The sequence below is a fragment of the Homo sapiens genome, chromosome 12, assembly GCF_000001405.40.
Source record: "Homo sapiens chromosome 12, GRCh38.p14 Primary Assembly".
In the NCBI taxonomy this organism is placed as follows: domain Eukaryota; kingdom Metazoa; phylum Chordata; class Mammalia; order Primates; family Hominidae; genus Homo; species Homo sapiens.
Window position 1 is genome coordinate 104,657,807 of NC_000012.12, and position 23,819 is coordinate 104,681,625.

The 23,819-nt window shown below is 45.9% G+C and overlaps 1 protein-coding gene across 4 annotated transcripts in view, besides 1 other annotated feature; it reads left to right on the forward strand.

Moving 5' to 3' along the window:
• CHST11 (carbohydrate sulfotransferase 11) overlaps window positions 1-23,819 on the forward strand; it is a 305,067-nt gene that overhangs the window by 200,859 nt on the left and 80,389 nt on the right. The gene's annotated exons all lie outside the window — the stretch shown is intronic.
• Window positions 13,605-14,209: an enhancer, noted in NCBI's record as "H3K27ac-H3K4me1 hESC enhancer chr12:105065189-105065793 (GRCh37/hg19 assembly coordinates)". NCBI's record gives its function as "activates a minimal SCP1, AML or CMV promoter by ChIP-STARR-seq in naive H9 embryonic stem cells {active_cell/tissue: H9 hESC(naive)}" and the evidence as "EXISTENCE:reporter gene assay evidence [ECO:0000049][PMID:30033119]".

Here is a 23,819-nt window from a genome sequence, read left to right on the forward strand (position 1 = left end):
TGTGGTGTGTCGGGAACATAGGGAGAACCTTGCTCAATAAGCATCTGTGTCTGCCTTGGCTCAAGCTGGAGCAGGGTGTCCAAGGCAGCCTGGACCCGAATAAAGACACGCTTTATTTCCCCTTCAGTTGACGGAGGGGGATTTTGAAGGTAGCAGGGGAAACAGAGTGAGCAGTGTTCAGGGACGCAGCCCACCTTCCTGGGTAGTTTTCCACTGCAACAGACCCGCCGAGGCCAGCCAGCCAAGGATACTCAGAGTTTTACAAGCATGCTGTGTGGACTGGGGCGGGGGCTGGCTTAGAGCCCCCTATGCCGCCCCCAACCTGCAGTGCCTCTTGGTGAGGAGAGGAGGCAGGATGAGCGTCTGCAATCATTGCCATGACAAAGTACCAGAGGCCGAGGGACTTAAATAGCAATTTATTTTCTCACACTTCTGGAGGCTGGGAGTCTAAGATCAAGGTGTGGTCAGGGTTGGTTTCTTCTCAGGCCATGAGAGAAGGGGCTGTCCCAGGCCTGTCTCCTTGGCTGGTAGATGCACCTTCATGTTCACACAGCAGTCTCCTTGTGTCTCTGTGCAAATTTCCCCCTCTTGTCATGATACCAGACACATTAGATTGGGACCCCACCCTAAGGACCTCATTTTCACTTGATCACCTCTGTGCAGACACTATCTCCAAATAAGGGTACTGTCTGAACGACTGGGGGTTAGTACCTCAGCATGTGCATTTTGGAGAGACACAGTTAATTCATGACAGCGTGTACCTTACATTCCATGGTGTTTATCTGGAGAGGGGGAGGTAGCCCTGGGGACCGTAACTCTGGCACTTCCTAGCGCCTTGATGATTGGCTTTTCTCCTACCTTCTGCTTCCATTCTCCTCCTCCCAGACTCTCTCATCCAATAACCCCCGCATCTGTACCCTGTTCGCTCCATAATAATGATAACTACTCCTTAGTAGTTGCTTCTTAGGTGCCAAGCAAAGTGCTAGGCATTTTATTTTTATTAACTCATGTAATCCTCATGATGACCCTTGAAATAGGCTCTATTGCCGTTCTCATTGTATAAACAAGGGAACTGAGGCACAGAGAGATTTAGTAACTTGCCCAAGGGCACGCTGCTAGTAAGTGGTGAAGCTGGGATTTGAACCCAGGCAGTCTGGCTGCAGAGGATACTTTATAAACCACTTCTACTTCACTTAATAGGCGTAATATTCCACTTGAAGCCCTTCACATCTTACCAAGGGCTCCCAAAACGTTCTCTCACTTGATCTCCATCAAAAAAGAGCACCATTGGAGGGGCTCAGAGGAATGGGTTCTAACATGTGATGTGTCTGGATCCGTGCTCAAGAACTGGGATGATGCCATGGATAAGAGCACAGCTCTGTGTTCTGCATCACAGACTCTGCATTGACTAGCTGTGTGACTTTGGGCAAGTGATGTAGCCTCTCTGTGCCTCACTTTCCTCATCTGCAAAGTGGGGTGACAGTCTCTTAGGGTTGTTTAGGGAGGATTCCTTGAGGGGCTGGCACATGATAATTGCTCAAGACATATGATCGTTGGTGATAATATTACTTCTCCGTATCTCTAAGAGCTTCCGGGGATCTCCAAGAGCCATCACTGCCCCGATCCTCCATCCCCACAGTGCAGAGCTGTGCTGCTCAGGGTGGTAGCCCTGAGCTCCAAATGGCTGCTGAGCACTTGAAATGTGGCGAGTGTGAATTGAGACATGCTGTAAGGGTTAAATACATACCATATTTTGAAGAATAAGTACCAAAAAATGTAAATGATCTCATGAATAATTTTTATATTGATTTTATGTTGAAATGAAAATGTTTTAGGTATGTTGGGTTAAATAAAGATATATTATTAACATTAATTATGGCCAGGCACAGTGGTTCATGCCTGTAATTCCAGTGCTTTGGGAGGCCAAGGCAGAAGGATTGCTTGAGGCCAGAAGTTCGAGACCAGCCTGGGCAACATAGTGAGACCCCCCCCCGCCCCCACCATCTCTACAAATAATTTTTAAAAATTAGCTGGGTATGGTGGCGTGCCCCTGTAGTCCTAGCTACTAGGGAGGCTGAGGTGGGAGGATTGCTTGAGCCCAAGAGTTTGAGGTTACAGTGAGCTATGATGGCACTGCCGCACTCCAGCCTGGGCAACAGAGTGAGACCCTGTCTCTAAAAGAAAACGAATTAATTTCATTCTTTTACTTCTTAAAATTGTGGCTATTGGAAAGCTTAAAATTAAATATGTAGCTCACATTATACTTCTATTGGACTGTACTGGGCTAGACTAGAAATGAGACGCTCCAGGGACCACATCTGTTTTGCTTATCGCTGTATCCCAGCACCTAGCCCAGATCCTGGCTTTACAGTAGATGCTCAGAAAATACTTGTTGATGCTGTTTTGATTGTACAGATGCTCTGTTCTTAGCCCCAGAAAGGTCTCCTGGGTACCACGCCAGGACCAGAGGAAAGTCTTTCGTTCCCAAAGCTCAGGGAAAGGGCTACAGGCTGGGTTTTTAGCTCACTGGGTCTCTGCGGCATTGCCATTGCCCACGGGCTTGGCGCAGGTGGGCCCCCAGCTGAATGGCTGGGTTTGATGGCAGAGCCACCGTCTTGCTCTTCAGCCCAAGGGAAAACATGGCTATGGTAGTTTCTTCTATTTTCAGCACATTAGAGAAACCAACTTTGTATGGAGGACATGAAAGCTCATTTCATAGGCCAGAGGAGGCCCGTGAAAGAGAACACTGTGTGCAAACAGCAGGAGAGAAAGACCCGAAGGAAATTTCCATCCCGGCTGAGGTCCTCTCCTGGACTTGGCTGCTCACAGGAGCCTTGTGAAGATAGAAGTGTACTCCTTCTATCCCAGGCCCTTTTTCACACCCCCTTCTTCTCAGAAGAAAATCCGAAACCCAGCTCTTGTAAAGGGGTGCGTATCTGCCATTCCTCTTTGACCTTACATTTATGAAAACTGAGTCTAGCTCCACCTGCAATCTTGATCAATCCCAAGATTTGAGGCCACTGGGTGGAGCAATACAGGGAAGGAGTTATAGTTAAAGGATGCTGGAGTTCAAAGGGGTCTTAGTCTAAACTACTTACATTTGGGGTTTCTGTGGTTCTCATCCTTCTGTGACATCTCTGCTGCTATTGAGGGCTCAGCATGCAAGAGAAATGAGCCTAGATGACCACATCCTCAGCTCGATCCACTCTGTCCACTTCCAGACTGCCATGAGCCTGGGAAGGGTGATGTAGCTGAATCTATGAGAAGAGCGATTCACCTGTGCCCAAATCCTGACATAGCTTCGCCTGAGTTCTGTGTCTCTGAGCAAGTGACAACTTCTCCGAGACTCAGTTTCCTCATCCATAAAAACGGAAGGAGTAGCTCTTGCCTCATTTGTCAGTGGGGTTAAATGAGACAATATGTAAAAAGCAGCAAACAGGCCAGGCACAGTGGCTCACACCTGTAATCCTAGCACTTTGGAAGGGCGAGGCGGGTAGATCGCTGGAGATTACTAGTGTTTCCACCTCCTTAAGCCCAGGAGTTCAAGACCAGCCTGGGCAATATGGTAATACCCCATCTCTACTACTACTACTACTACTAATAATAATAATACAAAAAATTAGCTGGATGTGGTGGTATGCACCTGTAGTCCCAGCAGCTTGGGAGGCCGAGGTGAGAAGATCACTTAGCTTGGGAGGTTGAGGTGGGCTTTGAGTGAGCTATGATGGCGCTGCTGAACTCCAGCCTGGGCAACAGAGTGCAGTGGCACCATCGCTGCACATTTTAAAAAGCAGCAAACAGCGCTTAGCATGTGGTAGACATTTAGGAAGCAAGAGAGCCCCTTCTCTCCTGGGTCCTGAGTGCTAGTTTTTCTGTCTCACTCTCCTCTGCCTCCTGATACACAGCAGTAGTGGTGAAGGTGCTCCTGTCTTTGACCAGGACCCGGGATGCCTGGTTTCCTAGCAGCCACATGATTTTCACCCCAGTTTAACCATACCCAGTGATGGGGTCTCTTCCACAACAAAATTTGGATAAAGTATTCTGGAAGTTGGAGATGACTAGTGTTTCCACCTCCTTGCTTTTCAGAAAACACCTGTTCTTTCTATTTGTGTCAGGATTAGAACATGGAATCTTGGCAAAAAGAAGATGTTACTTTTAATTAAACATCCTGAGCCTCGTTTCTCAGTCTGAGATGAATCAGTGAGCTCCATCTGGGTGGAGGTGAAGGAGAGCAGGAAATCATTTTTAATAGAAATATAAACTCTGATGGCCACAAGATTAAAGTCAAGGATACGTGTTGGTAACAAGGCACCTGGCACATAGTAGGATCTCAGTGTATGTTACTTTCTTATCCTTGATGTCACACCTGAAGCAGGTCAGCAAGCAAAGGAAACGGGCTGGGAGTCCAAGATCTGGGTTTGAGTGTCAGCACGTCCTCTCATTAGCTGTGTGCCCTCAGGAAAACCACTTAACATCTCTGAGCCCCACGTTTCTCATCTTAAAGGCTGGAAATAATTGCAACTTTTACCTACCTCGTGGGGTGGTTGTGAGGCTTGAATCATCAAATGAAAGGGCTTTGTAAATGGCAGAACTCCATAGAATGGTAGTTCCTCCTCCTTATCATTGCGGTTAGTGATAATTGTGTATCTTTTTCATTTGACTTGGGTAAATATTAGCCAATTCCCAGTCATGACTCAAACTAGATATTTTTCAAATGATAACGATTTTTAGGCCATTTCCTAACTCTTGCAATGAAATATGGATCGTGTTTGCTTTCTGGAGTCAGAAATTCAGATTTTTTCCATCCTTTATTCCTTTTTACAACTGATGTGTAATTCCCAGCTCACCAAGGTACCAGATGGGAGATCAGGAGGTCTTTTGAGAAGAAAGAAAAAGCTCATTGAAAACTGCTGATATGGAATGTTTATTTAATTTCAGAGGAGGAGGGTCTGTTTTTGTTTTTTAGGTGTAATACAAGTAGGGTTTATTGCTGTTTGAGCTTTTAATTGATTTACTAATATTTTTTATAGCTTCTTATTTTAATGTTTACAGGTCCCCAGATGCTGAGATTTACTGACCTCCGTGAAGGAATTGATAAATGATTTAGTTGAAATAGCAAAACTGGAGGCATTGTGTGAATTAGAAATTGTGCCACGGAGCCCACTCAGGTGCCACTAATTTATTTAATGTGATTTGGTTTGTACAGCTGTTCCTCACCACAGACAAAGGAAAAACAAACACCAACTGTTCCCCTAGAAAAATGGGGAGTGCCCCGAGGGATTGGGCCAAAGACTAGGGAGCACCCGGGAGGATCCAGCAGGCTGGCCTGTGTTGGGTCAGTGCAACAAGGCTTCCTTCCAGAGGCCTGGGCGAGCCCTGTCTAACCTACTCCATCCTCACCTCCGTGCGACTTCCATCTCGTGACGTTCTACTGAATCTGTGATTTCGCTAAGGTTGATTTCAGTGGGTTTGTTTTGTGAATACTTTTTCTTCTCTGGCATCATCAGAGATTTCTTGCAATTTTTAAACTTTTTTTTGTAGGTATGAGACAAATACTTGTTTAGTATAGAAAGTATAGAAAATAAATGCAAGTCAAATGAATAAGGTAAAAATCACCAGCAAATCCACCACCCAGAGATAATCATTGCTAACAATTTTGATAAATATCTTTCCAGACTTTTTCTCTGATATTCATGTTTGTATTTTTTAAAAAATGAATACTCCTAGCTTATATTGTTTGGTAACCTGTTTTTATTCATGTGTCATTTTTGAGCAGTTTTTCTCCATAACATTCAACTGCTTTGCTTAGACTGGTGTTCAAAGGGGGCTCATACAGACCAACCCTAATTTAAAAAAATCTTACTAGGAATGGTTTGCCCAAGTGCATTGTGCCGTTGTAGAGAGCTGTGCATTTCTGTTTGGGTCGCTTTAATGTCATTTCAAGGGCACTGACATAATAAGAATGCCCTTCCCCCTTTCTTTAGCCCATTTAAGGTACTTTATTAACAAGTTCCCAAGGGTGACTTTGTTATTCTTGTTCCCTTTCTTCCACCCATCCATCTGTTCATCCATCCATCCATCCATCCATGTATGGAGCAATTAGGCTGTGCCAGGCATTGTGTCTGCTGATAAAAACACAGATACATAATTTCAGCAGCCCCTGTCCACTAGGGTACCAGTCTCCATCCAGAACTTCCATCTGCCCTGGACATGAGATAGGGACCTCCATCTTATTTCTTCACTATGGAGTTGATTACTTCCAGCGAGCTATCTAGCAGATAATTCCTCCCTTTACAGTGGAGGCATCTCAAGGGTAGGAACTGTATATCACCTCTCTTCTATAAACCGCGAAATGCTGACTGTGCCTGTAGCCTAATACTCAGGGAGACCACGAGGTGAACTGAATTTTAGAGCTGAGGGTGAAGCGGCGGGAACATTTTTAAAAAGCTGTTTCTCAACACAACTCTTATGTATGTCATCGATCAAAGAAAAATGAGGATGCTAACAAAAATGTTCTTTGATTACTTAAGACTTTATTTTTCTAAGTGTGGTCTTCTTAGGTCTTTGAGAGACAGCAAGGCCTTTTTGTTAAGGTTTAGACACATTTTCTCTTGGTGTGTTCTAGAGAAGCACGGCTTTATGTAAAAATGTAAGATTTATTTTTGCCAGTAAAATATAACACACAGCCCAGCCCAGCAACAGCATACATCCTCACTGGATGCCAGCAACAGTCACTGTGAAATGTTACAAGTGCAAACAGCCCCAGTCCCTCCTCAGACAGAGCATGCTGCCCATGCCGGCAACAGTCACTGTAAAATGTTACAAGTGCAGACAGCCCCAGTCCCCTCCTCGGACAGAGCATGCTGCCCTTTTTCCAGGGAAGTGGGGTTATTTCTTTTTATGGTGCCATTTTGACTTCCTAAGACTACCATAGATTTATAAGGAAATAATTCCTCCAATGGGCCTAAGTGACATCCTAAAGTTTTACACGAGCCGGTTATGAAATTGCAAGAACTGTTTCATGGAAACATTTCCATGTCACCAATGTAGGCCCATTTATTAAATTTATGGAACTTGCTGTATGTGCTTTTTTAAAGATACCAAAATATATTTAATAACCTCAACCCGGAGGCAAACCTCGAGGGTTAATTACAGTAATGAATGTGGCCAACACCCGGGCTATTCAGGAAGAGAGAGTGGCTCTGTGCTCTGCCTGAGTGCCTCACCTTGTGCTAGCAGACTCAGGGGGTAACTCCATAAACTTTCATCATCCAACCTCTTCCCACTTTCACCTCTCTAGGTAATCTGGTCACTCTTGGATGAATAGCAGATGTATGAGAATAACCTTGAGATTTGGGATCGAAAGGCCTGACTCTGAGATCTGATTCTACCCCATTTATTATGTACTGTGTGGCCTTGGTTATGTCACTGTCCTACTCTGGGCTTATTTTTACATCTATAAAAGGCCAGCATACTAATAGCACTCATCTCAGGATTTGAGGGGAAACAGAACTTTGGGAGGAGCAAGGAGCAGCATGGAAGAAAAGAAGAGAGTCTAGTCTTAAAAACGTTTACAAATGTATCATAGTCCAGAAAGTCTTGTTTCAAACTGTGCCATCTGCATGGAGGTAGTTGAATGTAACAGTGACAAGTGCAAATCCTGGGGTCACGCTGCCTAGGTGTGAATCACAGCTGAATCTCTTTTTCCTCATCTGTAAACTTGGGATCATAATGACTACTCACAGGGCGGTTCTGAGTATTAACTTAGTTCATCAACCTAAAGTGCTTTGCACAGCATCGGGTACATCATGTTCAATAAATGTAAGTAGTTGTATTTCTAATTTTTAACTTTTTATGCCTATTGAAAACTTGAACACTCTGCATTTAAATTTGAAACAACATACTTGGAATTTTCTCTGGATGCCAAGCAAATGTCCATGATTTGTGGGGTGGGGGGTGGGGGTCTTTCTTTTTTCTTTCCCTTTCTCTTTCTCTCTCTCTGTCTCTTTTTTTTTTTTTTTTTTTTTTTTTTGAGACGGAATCTTGCTCTGTCACCAGGCTGGACCGCAGTGGCGCGATCTCGGCTCACTGCAACCTCTGCCTTCCAGGTTGAAGTGATTCTCCTGCCTCAGCCTCCCGAGTAGCTGGGATTACAGGTGCCCGTCACCATGCCCAGCTAATGTTTTGTATTTTAATAGAGATGGGGTTTCACCATGTTGGCCAGGATGGTCTTGATCTCCCGACCTCATGATTCGCCCGCCTCGGCCTCCCAAAGTGCTGGGATTACAGGTGTGAGCCACCGCACCCGGCCTCTTTCTCTTTTAATCTTATTTAGACTATCATGTATAGAATTAAGATTGAATACTTTATTTAAATTGCTACTAATTGCAAGTTCTGTTTGGTAGGGGTTTAGAATATGCTTAGCATTTGAAATGATCACGGGTATAGGTTTTCTGTCCCTGAAAAACACCTGAACTGTTTCCCTCAAGCTTTCCAAAACAATTCAACTTTGGATGCAAGCGAGAATGGAGAAATTTAATAAAGATTTTTATTTGTTTTCCAAAATGCAATACAGAAGATTGGGGTTATTGTGAAACGTGGGCAGGCTTTTGTAGTCCCCTTTACCTTGAATTCTGCTTTGCCAAAGCAAGATTTTATTAAGATAGGACTATCCAATTTCCTTCCGTTGTTCTTGGGACTCTGTGTTTTTGCAACTCGTTTGCCTCTGTCTGCGTGTTGAATTCTAGAGGGTGCGATGATGGAAGAATAAAATGGGATGGAATAATACCAGTGTCCTGCTGCATTGGTATTCAAATTCAGTATCCAAGGCTCCACATGCCTGAAATACAGATTTACTCTGAAATACAGTGGATGGCCAACAAATGTTTCCTGATTGAAAAAAGATGGAAGGAAAGGGAAGGGAGAGAAGGAGAAGCTAGGGAAGTCCTGTGTGGAACAGTAGAGCTGGGATCAGGTACCTCATCAGAGAGGCGGGGCAAGGTCTGATAACCCCTTTTTTCACCGTTCTACAGTACCGTGTGCGGTGGGGTCTGGAGTGAGCCAGAACAGATAAGTCGTTGCCCCTTGCCATCCCCCAAAACTATGCCCAGGGTAGCTGGCCAGGACTCTGTCTGCATCACACTCCTGCCAGTGTATGGCATGGGGCCTGGCAAATAGGAGGTACCTTTAAAACGCTTGTTGAGCAGAACATTCCAGTTGACCTGATAGTTCTTCATGAACATAGTCATTCATTTTCATTGACAGAACTTATGTTAAATGATACGAAGTTATTTTGAGAGGTAAGTGACCCTGACCCTGTCCACAAGAATTATTCAGTTCCGTGAATTTGGTCCAGCAGAGTCTGGTTTTTAACAGTCATTTGGCCTGAGCTATTGACTGCAAACTTTTAAGATTCTTCCAGGCCGTCTCATTAGAAGTTGACAGCACTTTGGCACCACGGAGACCTACAGGTGTCCTTATTCCCCCACCACGCTTCTGGTAATGAGAAATGAAAGTCGTCCAGCCTCACTCAGCTCACTGTGTGTTCCAGATTACACACCAAGGTTGTGCAATCTAGCCTTGGTTTTGCTAGATACTGATCCGGCTCCAGATAAATGTCATTGGATGACAACATATATGTTCCTTAAAACTCCAGCTTTTGGAGTTTCATCCCAGTCCTTACCTTGCATCTCAATCAGGGACAGAATTTTGGCCGTCATTTGGGAAGGAGCCAAGTGGACACAGGATGGTTTTAGACGAGTGGTCCTAACTTTTTCATCTGCATTTCCATCCAGTGTTGGAGCTAGGACTTCCGCATGCATCCAGACTCTGCTTTCTGCTCATTTCATGACCTTAGGGGAGCTATGAATTCCTCTGGGCCTCAGTTTCCTCATCGGTAAAGCAAGCAAGTCATGGACCTACCTCAGGCTGGTTGTGAGGATGGAATGAGATGCTGCCTGTCAGCTTCTTAGCACCACCTAAGGTCTCTGGTGATGCTGGTTATTGCAGCTGCACATCCAAAGCACCTGGCGAGCTTTCAAACACCTTAGACACCCAGACCCACGGAATCAGAATCTCTAGGGGTATGCACCCATGAGTTCATGGTTTTTAAAATCCTCAGAGATGATTTGTGTGCCTAGTCAGGATTGAAACCACTAATTCTAAAGGAACTGGATTCATGGGGTTTTGTCTTTAGGAGGGAGTCTAGCCAGTAGAGCCAACCCACAGAAGCTGGAGTAAGAATACTTGGGTTCCAATCCCGGTACCACCCCTGGCTTACCCCCACACCATATACCCTGGCTGTGTGACCTTGAGCTAACGACTTAACTTCCCTGGAAGTCAGTTTACACAATAAGAAAGTGAGGACAGTATTTATGAGCACCCCTCATAGGGTCATATAGGGACTAAATGAGATTATCCATGCCAAGTCTTATATTAAAAAGTGCCTGCCACAAAGGAAGCCCCCAGGAAGCGGTGAGCACATGATACATGTTAACTCACTCTCCAGAACAACCCTGGGTAGTAGATTATGTCATTATCCAGTTTCCGTATGTGGAGCATCTCTGTAACTCCTCTAAGGTCACGGGTGTTAAACCCACTCCCGAGACACCATGACAACACAGAACACACTGCGTTGGGACGTCAGCTGGGTCAGCTGAAGGACTTGTGAGTGCAGCTCCCTGAGCTGCAGCTGACCACACAAGTGGGCAACTGAATACAGTCCCCATAAAGCATGTTTATCTTATCTGGGGCTGGAGATTAGCTGTGTTGTGCAGAAGGGAAGAGGCATTCCAGGTCTTTCCAGCTGTCTTGCCTGTGAACATTTATCGTCCCCTAGTTCCGACGTTTATTATCCCCCCGGGTGGATAGCACTAATTCATACCAGTCTGTCCGATGGCAGCAACCCCCATAGATGTATGGGTCATGGCGGAAGAGGGAGAAACCCCAGACTCTTGCTATTTGGAGGGAATGAGATTCTGATAGTCACAGCCCTCAGCAAACTGTTCTCTTTGGAACCAATACAGTTGTTTTCCTGTAAGAACACAGAGAAGACCCAGGCAACTCTGGGTTCCAGAAATGAAGGCCTCCTTGAGAAGCCACATTAACCCTGACATTTCTTTCTCCCCATTTCTGTGGGCAAGGAACACGGCCCCCAGGCAACTCTGGGTTCCAGAAATGAAGGCCTCCTTGAGAAGCCACATTAGCCCTGACATTTCTTTCTCCCCATTTCTGTGGGCAAGGAACACGGCCCCCAGGCACTGAGGAAGTCCCCACTGCAGCGTGCGTTAGACGTACGCACCCCTCTGCAAGCACAGGCTCGCACAATCGCCCGCTGTGTCTCCTGCCAGCCAGCTGGGTGAATGTTCCCGGGCAGCCAGAGCGTTTTTCCTCCCCTCCTCACACTCCCCTCCCCTTCTCCTGCCCCGCCAGCTCCACGCCCTCCTGAATGTTCCATTCTAAACAGCCACAATCAGGAGCCTGTTCTGCACTGGGAAAAAGAGCAGCATGAAGGCTTTTAAACTTGCTGGGTAATTTAAGGTATTTATCGCTATTTGGAGAGCTTTGCTTGTTTTGAATCCATTCCCCCTGCAGCTCTCAGAAATGGTGCAAATGATTTTTTTTCCCCCTTGAAAAGGGATGCTTCTAGGTCTTTCCACTGTCCCCGAGGCCGGATTCTGAATGCAGGCCTCCAGACCTGGGTGCATTCGCTGAGGTTTTGTTCATTCATAAACGTTAATTGGGCATCTCCCTGCTCCAGGCCTACATTGTGTTTGTAGAGTGCTCCCCCTTTCTGCAGTGGACTGTGTTTCTAACTCATGCGCAGTAAACGAGGTCAGAGAGCCTGGCTTTGGGATCCAGGCTGACCCAAGGTCAAGCTGCGCCCTGCAAATTAGCTGTGTGACCCTGGACACCGTTCTCAGCTTCTCCAGAACACAGTTTTTCATCTGTTAAATGGGTATGATGACAGCTCGTAGCTTACTTGCTTTGGAGGCCAGCCTGCCCGTGTCCAGATCCCAGCTCTGCCACTTCCTCCTCCTGTGAGCCTGGCTTTTCCGTTTTGTCAGTTGATTCACCTTCAGTCAGGAATAATAGCCAATCCCTCAAAAGGTGGCAAGAGAACTGAGTTGATGCATATCAAATACTTGTGCTTAGCACATAGAAATTGCTCAACTCAACAAATGTTAGTTTAGAGGAGGCCCTTAATAAATCTAAGTTCCCTTTTCCCCTCTCGCTTTCCTAAAGCTTCACCTAAGCCAACAGCTGGACAGAGGCGGAAGCTTGCCAAGAGAGTCAGAAGAATCTGGACTCCACACCGCCTGCTGCAGGGCCTGCTGGCCTCACAGGGAGAGGGAGGAAGGGGGGTCCACCCTGGCCAGGTGCACTCTGGTGAGAGCAGCCCACAGAGGCCTTGTGGTCTCCCAACTTCCTCAGTCCTTAGGATGCTAACAGGGCTGTAGCAGAGCGAGTCCTCAAAACCAAGGGGCTTCCCCACCACTCTGAATCCACCAGCAATCTCTGCCTCTGCACGGCACCCAGGGCAGGGTGGTCCTTCCCCGCTTTTCTATTCCAGACCGTCCATGAACTGCCTCCATTTCCTCCACCCACCCCCAACATAGCCTCCTTCATGGAGCATATACACATGTGCAAGTGCATATGTTCAGACCCACACACACACACACTCACACTCATACACACTCACACAAACACATCCATACACACATGCACTCACACTTACACACACACTCCCACACATACACACCCACACATGCACTCACACTCATACACACACTCCCACACAAACACATCCATACACACGCACTCACACTCATGCACACTCTCCCACACATACCCACACACACACAAATATACTCTCACACATACCCCTGCATACACACACATCATACATACACACCACATATACACACACACTCCCACACATACCCCTCACATACACAAACCAATACACACCCACACATACACTCTCACACACACCCCACATAAACACACACCCACACATACATTCTCACACACACTCCCACACATACCCCCCACACCTATACATATACACCAACAGAAACACACACATACATACATGCACATACATGCACACTCACACACACACTCTTTTCCAGCTTTGTGTTTCTGCTTCTGCCTTTTCAGTTTCTTTGATTTCCCACATATGGATTTCCTGCCCTGCCTTCTGAGGGTGTTGGGCAGGTGAGAAGCCCTAAGATCATGTTCAGAGCTGAAAACATAATCACCAGATTGGAATACTGGAGATGAGATGGTAGAGAATGGCTAGTTTTAGCTTTTCTCATTAACACGGGGTGGGAGCAGATGACCTTTTCCTTTTAGCTGACAGCTAGTCTGCTGGCCATGGGCACACCCTCCTCCGCAAAGCCTCTTGTGATCTCCAGTCTGACTGGACACGGCTTCTTGCTGCGCCCGTGATCCTAAGCATGGGGTGTGGGTGGTAGGGAAAAGCCTGGAGCAGGGCTGCTTGGTTGAAATCTTGGCTCTGCAAGTTATTTGGTTTTGCTGTGCCTTCATTTCCCCATTTGCAGAGTGGGGTCAGTATTTGCCCTGATTCTTAGGGTTGTTAAGAATATTCGATGAGGAGAGCCACATCAAGTGCTTGGAATGCCTGTCTACTGATCATTACTGTTACCAGCGCGATCATGGTTTTGATCATGGAAGCTCTTAGCCCACTGCACTGTGATCGGTCTAGGAAGTCCTGTCGCTTCCCCCACAGGTTTCGCAGCAAACGGGCCAGGACAGTTATCTCAGGCAGCCTAGAGAACGCCTACAGTGTGAGCAAAGCCACTGTTTAAAGTGAGGTGATACTTTATTCACCAAAGATTCCTTTACTTACAGAAAGTCCCCCTTGAACTTATGATTTGAATTTTAGACATTTTACCCAATCTCTATCTTTCTCTCTCTTTTTCTCTCTCTCTCTGTCTCTCTCTCCTCCCCGCCCCCAGCCCTCTTCTTGCATAATGTGAGAAGAGGCTTTCAACAGCCAAATGGAAACCCCCTTTGTCACCTTGTAGGCGTGTGGCATTGGGACACTGAAGTTAGCAAATCGGCCAGTGACTCATCAGTTTCCTCTCCATAACTGGGGTGTGGTTGGGGGATGGGGCAAAACTGGCACTTGGCAGGAGGCCTTGGCACAGTTCCCAGGCAGCATTCCTTCTGACCCGTCAGTGACCATGTCCTACCCATTAAGGAATATTGTAATGATCAGCCCTGGAGGAAGGAGCATTAAGATTTCTGCTCTGACTTCAGATGTTTTGATACAATTTGGGTAGCTCGAGTTCTCCATCCCTGACAATGAAAATGCCCAGGAATGTCAGGGAAGCGCGTTTTCTGGAAACCTACCTCCCTGAGACCTGTCTGGCCTGCACAGGGGGGTGGACCGTGTGGGAGAGAGGGGATTGTCCCTCTCTCCCCAAGGTCAGCTCTGGCTTGCGGAGTAATGGCTCGTGTGAGTGATGTGTGTGCAGGACTCCATTAGGGGCCCGGCTGTCCAGCTGTCTTGTGGCAAGTGTCTTTGCAGAGAGGGGCGAAAGGAGCAGATAGCTCCAGAAATGGAGAATAAAGAGACCATTGCTTTCTGCTTTCTGGCAAATTCTGCCAAAATACTGCAGAGAATGAAAAACTTTGAAGGAAAACCCCTTTATCAGCTATCCCATGCCTTGTGGCCATTGATTCCACGAGCAGGTGTTTCTGAGAGCTGGAAGCTGGCCTGGCCCTGGCCTCTTTCAGGAATAGAACATGTGAGGATGGTTGGCTTCACCACCTCCAAAGGGACCTCGGGAGGAGTAACCTCCCAATGGGGCAAGATTACTCACCATGACGGGCAGCTCAGTGCATGGCAACAAGCGTATGCTCTGCTGGGCAGCCTTCTTGGCTGGAAAACTGGCTCGTGATTCTGACTGTGACTCTCCCTCCTACACTTTCCAAGCCAAGAGCCTCCCCCAGATTTCACATGCCTCCCGCATGGCACCTCTGTTCTCCTGCTGCCACCACTCAGACACCCAGGCGTGAGGATTACTCTGAAACCCTGATGCTTGGCCATACCTGCCCCACCATTTCTGAGGCTGCCATAATGAATCACCACAGACCAGGTGGCTTAAAACAACAGAAATGTATTCTTTCCCAGTTCTGGAGGCCAGAAGTCCAAAATCAAGGTGTCAGCAAAGCTGTACTCCCTCTGGAGACTCTAAGGGAAGATTTATTATTTGCCTCTCCCAGTTGCCAAACTCCTTGGCTTGGGGCCCCATCTCTCTGCTCCATGTACACGTTGCTGCCCCCTCTTCTGTCTTCTTTTTTGTCTCTTATAAAGACACGTCATTAATATTTAGGGCCTACCCACACACTCCAGGATAATCTCAAGATCCTTAGCTTAATCACATCTGCAAAGACCGTTTATCCAGAGAAGGTCACATTCCCAGATTCTGGGAATTTGGATGTGGACCTATCTTTTGGGGAGGTACCATTCAGCCTACTGTACCTGTTAATGGAATGGTTTGTTACATGGATTAACACTGACTTGAGGCTTTCTAGGGTGAGCCTAGAGCATTTTCTCAAAAATACACATGTGGTGACACCTATTTTTAGCTATTTGACTTGGACAAGTAACTTACCCTCTTTGGGCCTCAGTTTCTTCACCTGTAAAATGGGAATGATAATAGTACCTACCCATAGGTTTGTTATGAGCATTAAATGAGTTCATGTAAGTACAGTGCTTCGAGTGCTATCTGGCAATTAGCAAAGCACTCCATAAATATCAACCATTCTTATGGTGATTATCATCATGGCATCATAATCATCATTGGAAGCTACCCCAGGCAATGAGACTGTCCTAGACAACTCATTTAACATGTAGCACAGCACATTCACAAACCGTTTGTTTCGACTTTTCGACCTACTTAAAATCACTTGGAATTTGTTGCCGTGTGACCTTGGGCAAGTTCCTTAACCTCTCTGAGTCTGGCAGAACATTCCCTGGAAGGGCTGCTGAAAGATTAAATGTGGTCAGCCTCGTGACACATGTTCTGCATCAATCCACGTTGGCTGAGCAGTGAGAAGGCAGCATGTTACAGTCTTGCCTCTCCACAGACGTTGGTGGCATCTTTCTTCCCTGCCCGTGTCTTTATGGCTGCTCGGTTTTCCTCTGCTGTCAGCTCTCCCGGCCTCTGTTGAATGGCCTGCACTTAGTTTTAGTCGATTTCCTCCCCTGAGTCTGATTTCTCTGCAGTTTCCAGCACAGATAAGGCTGTACATTTCAGACTGCGGTCCCAGAGCAGGATTTTTTTGCTGGCTTCTTTGGGGAGGATGTTTGTTAATACAGAATCAAACCTTAGCTGTTCTGCTAGTAAAAGATTTCCAGGTAGATTCTAACTTTGTGTGTTTAAAACTCTTAGCTGTTCATTAAAATGCTGCCTTGTTTCTCTCAGTGGTCTGTCAGAGTGATCCGAACCAGATCACTAATTCTACGACAACCAGTGTTTCTATAATGATAACCACCCTGCCATAGCACTTACTCTGTGCCAGGCATTGTTGTAAGGACTTTATACTTAATCCTTGCATCCTAACGAGGAAGGTGCTGTTACAATCCACATTTTAGAGATGAACAAACAAACAAGGCCCAAGAAACAAAAAGTGTTCAGTAACTTCTTGTCCAGTATCACCCAGTTTATAAGTGGTGAAGCTGGGATTCAAACCCAGGCCCTCTTGAGTCCAGCAGCTCTGCTCTGAGCCACCACCCAGGACTGTCCCTCATTAAATGCCTGAATAATTTCGAAGAGTCAGAGTTCCATAAATGTTTATAGAATTAATTGAATATTGAATGGCTTTTCCTGTTAACGGAGGAATCTCAGTCAGTCTTTGCTAACGGATTAGACTTTTTTTTTTCAGCCCCTGCCTTGAGACAAGTGTAGATTTTTCTCTCACTGGTTTTGCAGTTCTATATCTAGGATATAATGCCCTTGTCTTCTTGCCTGTGTATGGTATAAAAAGGATGGTCTTTCAAACCCAGATACTGTGTAACCTGGGCAAGTCACGTAACCTCTCTGAGCCTCACTTTTCAGGGGTTAATAACATTTAACGCATTAAATGTGCTAATGTATGTAAAGTGTCGGGCATAATAACAGGTCCTGATACATAGTGACTTGAAAAATAAAATACAAAATACTTTGCATTTTTCCGAAGAAAGGTACTGCGTAACTCTTAAGGTATATTTTTACTATATTTACCTTGCTGTGGTCAGTCTAGTATAGGTGTCTCTGTTATATTAATGTTTTAGTGGTGATCACTCTAAGCAGTTACATATATTAAAATATTCTGGCCAAATGAAAAGTTTATAAAGAAATGCTTTTAAAATTGAACCAGAAGTAGATGACGATAGTCGTCATTATTTTAAAAAGAGAGGTTTACCGTTGAAATAGATCTCATTAAGGACCTATAATTGACAGAAATTACTTCAGCTTCTGTTATGCTCACGTCTTGATGGCAGCATCGAATACACTCATGTGCCCTCTCTACAAGTAAGAATGGTATGGAATTGCTTCAACCGTAGATTTGCCTTTTTCCCCCTGGGTGATACAGACTCATAACTTTCCAATATTCATTTTTCTTATTTTCTCTTAGCTATGTAATGTGAGTAGGGTGTATTACTATCTCCTGTTCACAGGATCCAATTAACTGAGGCCATAAGAAATAAATGAATGAATGAATGAACCGAACTAACAACCGCTGTTATGAGCCGAGTGCTTACTCAGTGCCAAGTGCTTTGTTTGGACTTTATTCAATCCAGGGGTTGAAGAACCACTCACTCTGGAGTCAGATTCCTGGTCCTAAACCACGTACTTAAGCAAATTACTTCCCTGTGCCTCAGTTTCCTCTCCTGTGGAATGGGATTAATAACATTGCCATTCTTACAGGGTTGTTTTGAGGCTTAGATGATACATACATGCAAAAAGTCCACAGCATGCTGTCAGGCTGTAAGCACTCAGTTCCATTAATTGCTGTTGATTCCTTCAAGGACTCTGACAGAGGTACACCCCTGTTTTGTGGATGAGGAATTTGTGCTCGGAGAAGGTGGGGGCTTACTCAGGGTCACGTGTGCTGTGGTCAGGAGGTGTAGGCTAAAATCCAGGTCTGACTCCAGAGCCAAGGTTCACAAGCTACATCCCCGCATGCCTCGACTGGTCAACTCCTATAATTCTGTCTGCATAGGAAAGACCTGTTCAATGATCATCTTTTTATATTGTTTTGATTTTTGAGTCATGTATCTCATTTGAGCAAGAGATCAGCCTGCAGTTAGGGCACCGTATTGGTTTCCAATTGCTGCTGTAACAAAATGCTACAAAGTAGAGGCTGAAACAATATAAATGTGTTATTTTACTGTTCTGGAGGTCAGGAGTCTGAAATGGGTCTCCTGGGGCAAGAATCAAGGTGTCCGCAGAAATGAGTTCCTTCCAGAGGTTCCAGTGGAGAATCTGTCCCTTGCCTTTTTTAGCTATTAGATGCCTTCTGAATTTTTTGGCTCATGGCCGCATCTCCTCAACTCTGCTTCCATTGTCACATCTTTTCTGACTCCGAGTCACTGCCTCCTTTTCTTTTGAGACAGAGTCTCGCTCTGTCACCAGGCTGGAGTGCAGTGGCGCAATCTCGGCTCACTGCAACCTCCGCCTCCCGGGTTCAAGGGATTATTCTGCCCCAGCCTCCCAAGTAGCCGGGACTGCAGACATGTGCCACCACGCCTGGCTAATTTTTGTATTTTTAGTAGAGATGGGGTTTCCCCATGTTGGCCAGGATGGTCTCGATCTCCTGACCTTGTGATCGGCCTCCCAAAGTGTTGGGATTACAGGCATGAGCCACTGCACCCGGCCTCCCTGCCTCCTTTCCTAAGGAAGCTGCAGCTCACTTGGGAAATCCAGGATAACCTTCCCACCTCAAGACCCTTCACTCTACCGCAGCTGCAAATTCTCCTTTTGCCATGGAAGGTCACATTCACAGGTTCCAGGGATTAGGATGCGGCCTTTTGGGCGTGTCATTCTGCCTAGCACAGATGGCCATTCTCATCGTGCCAGGGTGCTGGCACATTCTTGTTTCTATAGGGGCTGTGTGGTGTGGGCCCCATCCCAGCCCCTGCCCTTACTAGCCTGTGAGCCTAGGCTAAGCAGACATTTCATTTCTTCGCCCTTCTCCAACCTTCTCCCGACCCTGCCCCATTTCCTCCTTTCCTCATCTGAAGAATAGAGTTTTCAGTACCAGTTTTGCGTGACTGTTGAGAGCACAAAATGAAGTAATGTGTGGAAAGTGCCTGGTCCTAATTGGCTCTCAAAAATGGGAGCCATTATTCTCGCAATGATTACTTTTCAATTATTTTTAATGTTCCTGTAATAACAAACAGAGCCCAGTGTCTTGGCCTGGTCAGAGGGAACAAAAGTCTTAGCATGCAGGTCGAGGGGTCCCCATGGCCTCCAAAAAGCAGAAAAACAACAAAACCTGGTTCTAACTAGCTAGAACTGGACTCAGTTAGGAACAAAAGGGTTATTCAGCTGACCAGAGGATGGGCGAGGAACAGAAGGGGAAGGTGAGTGGAGATTAGCTTGTCAAACAGTATTTTCTTGTGAATGCTGCAGATCAAGGCAGTCTTTTGTGACAGCATTTATATTAAAAGAGGCCCAAGATATTTATAGCCCCTATTGGAGCCTAGAGCCTAAATAGCAACTCTGTTTGATCAGCCTTTCACAGGTCATGTGATGTTTCTCCTTCAGGGTGTCCATTTGAAAGTGGGAGAAACCACTAGGAATTTGGGGGGAATAGAGCAGAGAGAGAGAGGTAGGGAAATTTGGTCCATTTGCAGATTCACGGAAGTTCAAATGTGGCGCATAGCTGCGCACAGCTTCCCCTCCTCCTTGGGTACCATGTTGCCAAGACGGGCGGTTAGAGATTCAATGGCAGAGGGCTAGATGATTCTGTTTCCAAGGGGCCCTGCTTGCCTTCCAGCCCCACCTCATATCACCCTGTCCCTCAGTTGCTGTTCCAGCCTCTTGGCCCACATTCCTCAAACATGTCAAACAGGTTCCACCAAAGGACTTGCATATTTGCTGTTCCCACTCCTGGAACATACTTCCCTGAGATCTTTCTGTGGTTGGTGCCTTCTCATCAAGTCTCAGATGAAATATCACCTCCTTTGAGAGGCCTTCTCCAACCTTCCAGGCACTGCTTCTTGCATTGCCTTGTTTTATTGTCTTCATAGCACTTGTCACCATCAGAAGTGATCTTGCTCATTAATTTGTCTGGTGTCTCTCTCATCACCTCTAGAATTTAACCTTACATTTAACTTTTATTGCTGGATATCTCTATTGGCCTATCTTAGGGCCCAATGGAGAAAGAAAAATGTTCTAATAACATATTGTAAAGGTTTGCCTAGAAAGGTATATCCTTCCCCAACATTTCCATTCACTGAAAGAAAACACCTTATTTGTCTGGTGTCTCTCTCACCACCTCTGGAATGGAACTTCTAGGGGAACAGGGACATTGGCTCTTATTGACTGCCATAACCCCAGAGTGAGACATTGCCTAACAAATGAAGGGCATTTATGAAAATACTTGCTAACATGCTGCGCTTATTATGGGCCACATCCTGTTCTAAATGTTTTGCATGATTTAATTCATTTAGTCTTCTCAACTAATCCATTTTACAGATGAGGAAATGGAGGCATAGTTTAATAAATGAAAAACATCAAATGAATTAGACTATTCAGGTATACTGGAGGTATTACTGAATTGATTCAGCAATTGTATCAGTTATCCGTTGCTACAGTAATTCTGCATAACAAAACACCCTATTTCTTCATGCTTGTTAAGGCTGCCAAGGAATGAAAGGACAAGGTTTTTATTTTTCTTCACGGTGGGGGAGATAAAAACCACATTTTATATTTTCAGAGAGTGACAATGAGCATTAATTGAGCATCTACTGTGCGTCAGGCTCTCGGTTACGTTTGGAATTAAATACTCAAAACAGTCCTCAGGAGTGTGGCATTGACCCCATTTCATTCAGTTTGTGAAACAGACTGAGAGGTAAAGTCACGTACTCTAGCTCACACAGTCTTAGGGTTATTTTAATTTCTCCCGCTCTAGCTCACACAGTCTCGCCGCTATTTTTATCTCTCCTGAGATTCTCCAGACAAAACCAGCTCGTAAGAGGGCACCCATGATGTCGTTGGTACTCAGTAGACATTAGCTGAATGAAGGAGGAGGAAAGGCCACCAACCGACCTGTGAGGGTGGATGTTCCTATCTTCGTAGTACTCAGATGAGGAAACTGGAATTTAGAGAGATTCAGTCCAAGGTCACCTGGCTAGTAAATGATCAAGTCAAGATTCCAACCCAGAAAGTTCCATTTCCAGAAGCCAGTGCTATCTGAGGGAAGTAGAATTTAGCAGTGAGGACTTCAGGACCCCAAATGCCTTCTCCACAGTTTACAGCCCCCACCGGCCAGGAGAGAGGCGAAGGGAGACCGAGGGCATATACGTTTGTCTGTAAACCCGTTGGGAGGGTACCCACCGAGGCCTGGAACCAATTCAGGCCCCGGAGCCTCCGCGTCCTGCTCCATATCCCCCTGAGCCGCAGTCTCCCTTGAGCAGAACTCTGGAGTCAGATCTTCTTCTTTGACCTCCGCCCCGTGTGTGGTTTGAGAAGGAAGAGTTGGGAATGGAGAGAGCCCTCATGCGAAGTCATTTGCTGATGAGACCCCAGCAGCTGGTGAGGGGGGCCAGGCCTGTGTGGATTTTGAGTGGGATTTGTGGCCTGAACATACTGGGGCCGCCGAGCCCCAGCTGCAGGGACAGCCAGCACTATCACCTGCCCTGCAGAGAGCAGGCATCTTTCTTTCCCTTTTGGAAACTGCCATGTGTAATTCATGGTAGAGCACAGAGAAAGACGCAATGGAGCCCCGCCCCATGGAAAATCCTAATTAGCTCCCCACAGGGCTGCCAGAATCATGGCAGGCTCCTCACAGCATCTCTGACTCTTGTCAAAGGGTGGCGGCCCTGACTGTCCAGAGGAAGAGGCCTCCCCACAACAAAACCCCTCTGGTTTGTTTTTGTTGTTGGTTTGTTTTTTTACTGCCCCAGGAATCAGGGTTATCTGCTGGACCACCTTATAATTTGCAAAGCCCCACCAACTGGTCTGCTTTCTTTAGAGTGACTTGAACCTCTGAGCATTCATCGACTCACCAAGCATCAACTGGACTCCTGCTGTGTGCAGGGGTTTTGGGCTAGGCCCCAGGGATACAGCAGTGCATAAGGCTGTGTAATCCTTGTTCTCAAGGGGCATACTTTCTGGTTGAGAGGACGCAGGTGATAGCAAATAGATATATAAGAAGATACAAGGTAGTAATAGCATGAGTGAGCCAGTGGGTGTTGCTCTTAAGCCACGCTCTTGCCTCTCAACACTGGAGTGACATGCAAATGCCATGGGGACATCTCAGGGACATACTGAGGCAGAGAGAAGAGCAAGTGCAAGGGCACCACAGCAGATGCAAGCCTGGTGGCTGGAAGAAGCAAACACAAAGGCTGTGCAAGGAAACCCTGATGAATGTGGGGATGGGGACGGACATGTGGCCAGGCAGGCACACAGGGGCCAATCTGCGGGGCCTGGTCAGACCACAGAAGTAAGGATGTTCTGCTAGGAAGCACCATTGCTTTTGCCTACTGGGCAGAAGTGCAGAAGTGTGGAGCCTCCCACTGGTGTCCTGTCATTCGAGGGTTTATTTCTGCTTATTGGGTCAGTGATTCAGCTCCTGCACCTGCTCCATGTGGGAAGGAAATGCTGTGCACTCAGTAAAGTCAGTTCCTCTCAATCCCTCCTCCTCTGGTATGTGCCCACCCAAACCACGTTTGAAATCATCAGGTCACCCTGACTTTTAACTTATACCACACTCCCCCGGGTTCTCACGTGCAAGCAAAGCTTGACTAGCTGGGCCCACATCTTTGAGTGCCCCGCCCCCCTGTTCCTGCTGTGAGTGAAGGGTTCAGGTGAAGAAGGCATAGATGTTAGGGGCAGACAGATCTTAGGTTTGAATCTCAGTCTTGCCACTTAATGGCTGTGTGGTCTTGGACAAGTCTCTTAAAGTCTCTGGACCTCAATAACACTGGGGATAATAATATCTACTTCAAAGGGTTGTTGTGAGGATGAATTGAGATAATAAATGAAGACATCTAGTGCAAGGCAAGTGCTTGATCAGTTTAAAGGTTCTCTCTTCTTGCAGTCTCTTACCAGCCTGTTGTGGAGTACCTGGAAGGAAAGGTACAACACTTCTCTAGTAACACATCACTGGGTGGCAGTGAGTACAGCTGGGCTGTCTAATGACTTTGTAATGAGTAACTTCATGCATTACCATCTAAATGATAGGATACATAGAAATAGATCATCAATAAAAAGGAATGCAGTACTGATACATGCTACATGGATGAACCTCAAAAACATTATGCTAAGTGAAAGAAATTACTCACAAAAGACCGCATATGATATGATTCTATTAATGTGAAAGTTCCAGAATGGATAAATCTATAGAGACAGAAACTAGATTAGTGGTTGCATAGGGCTTAGAAAGGGCATAGACAGAATCTTTTGGGGGTGATAAATATATTCTAAAATTAGGTTACAGCGATGATTGCACAACTCTGTAAATACATGAAAAACCACTAAATCGTGCATTTTAAATGGATGAATTTTATGGTACATAAATTATATCTCAAGCTGCTTTTTAAAAAAGAGATATAGTTTCATTACTTTCAGAAA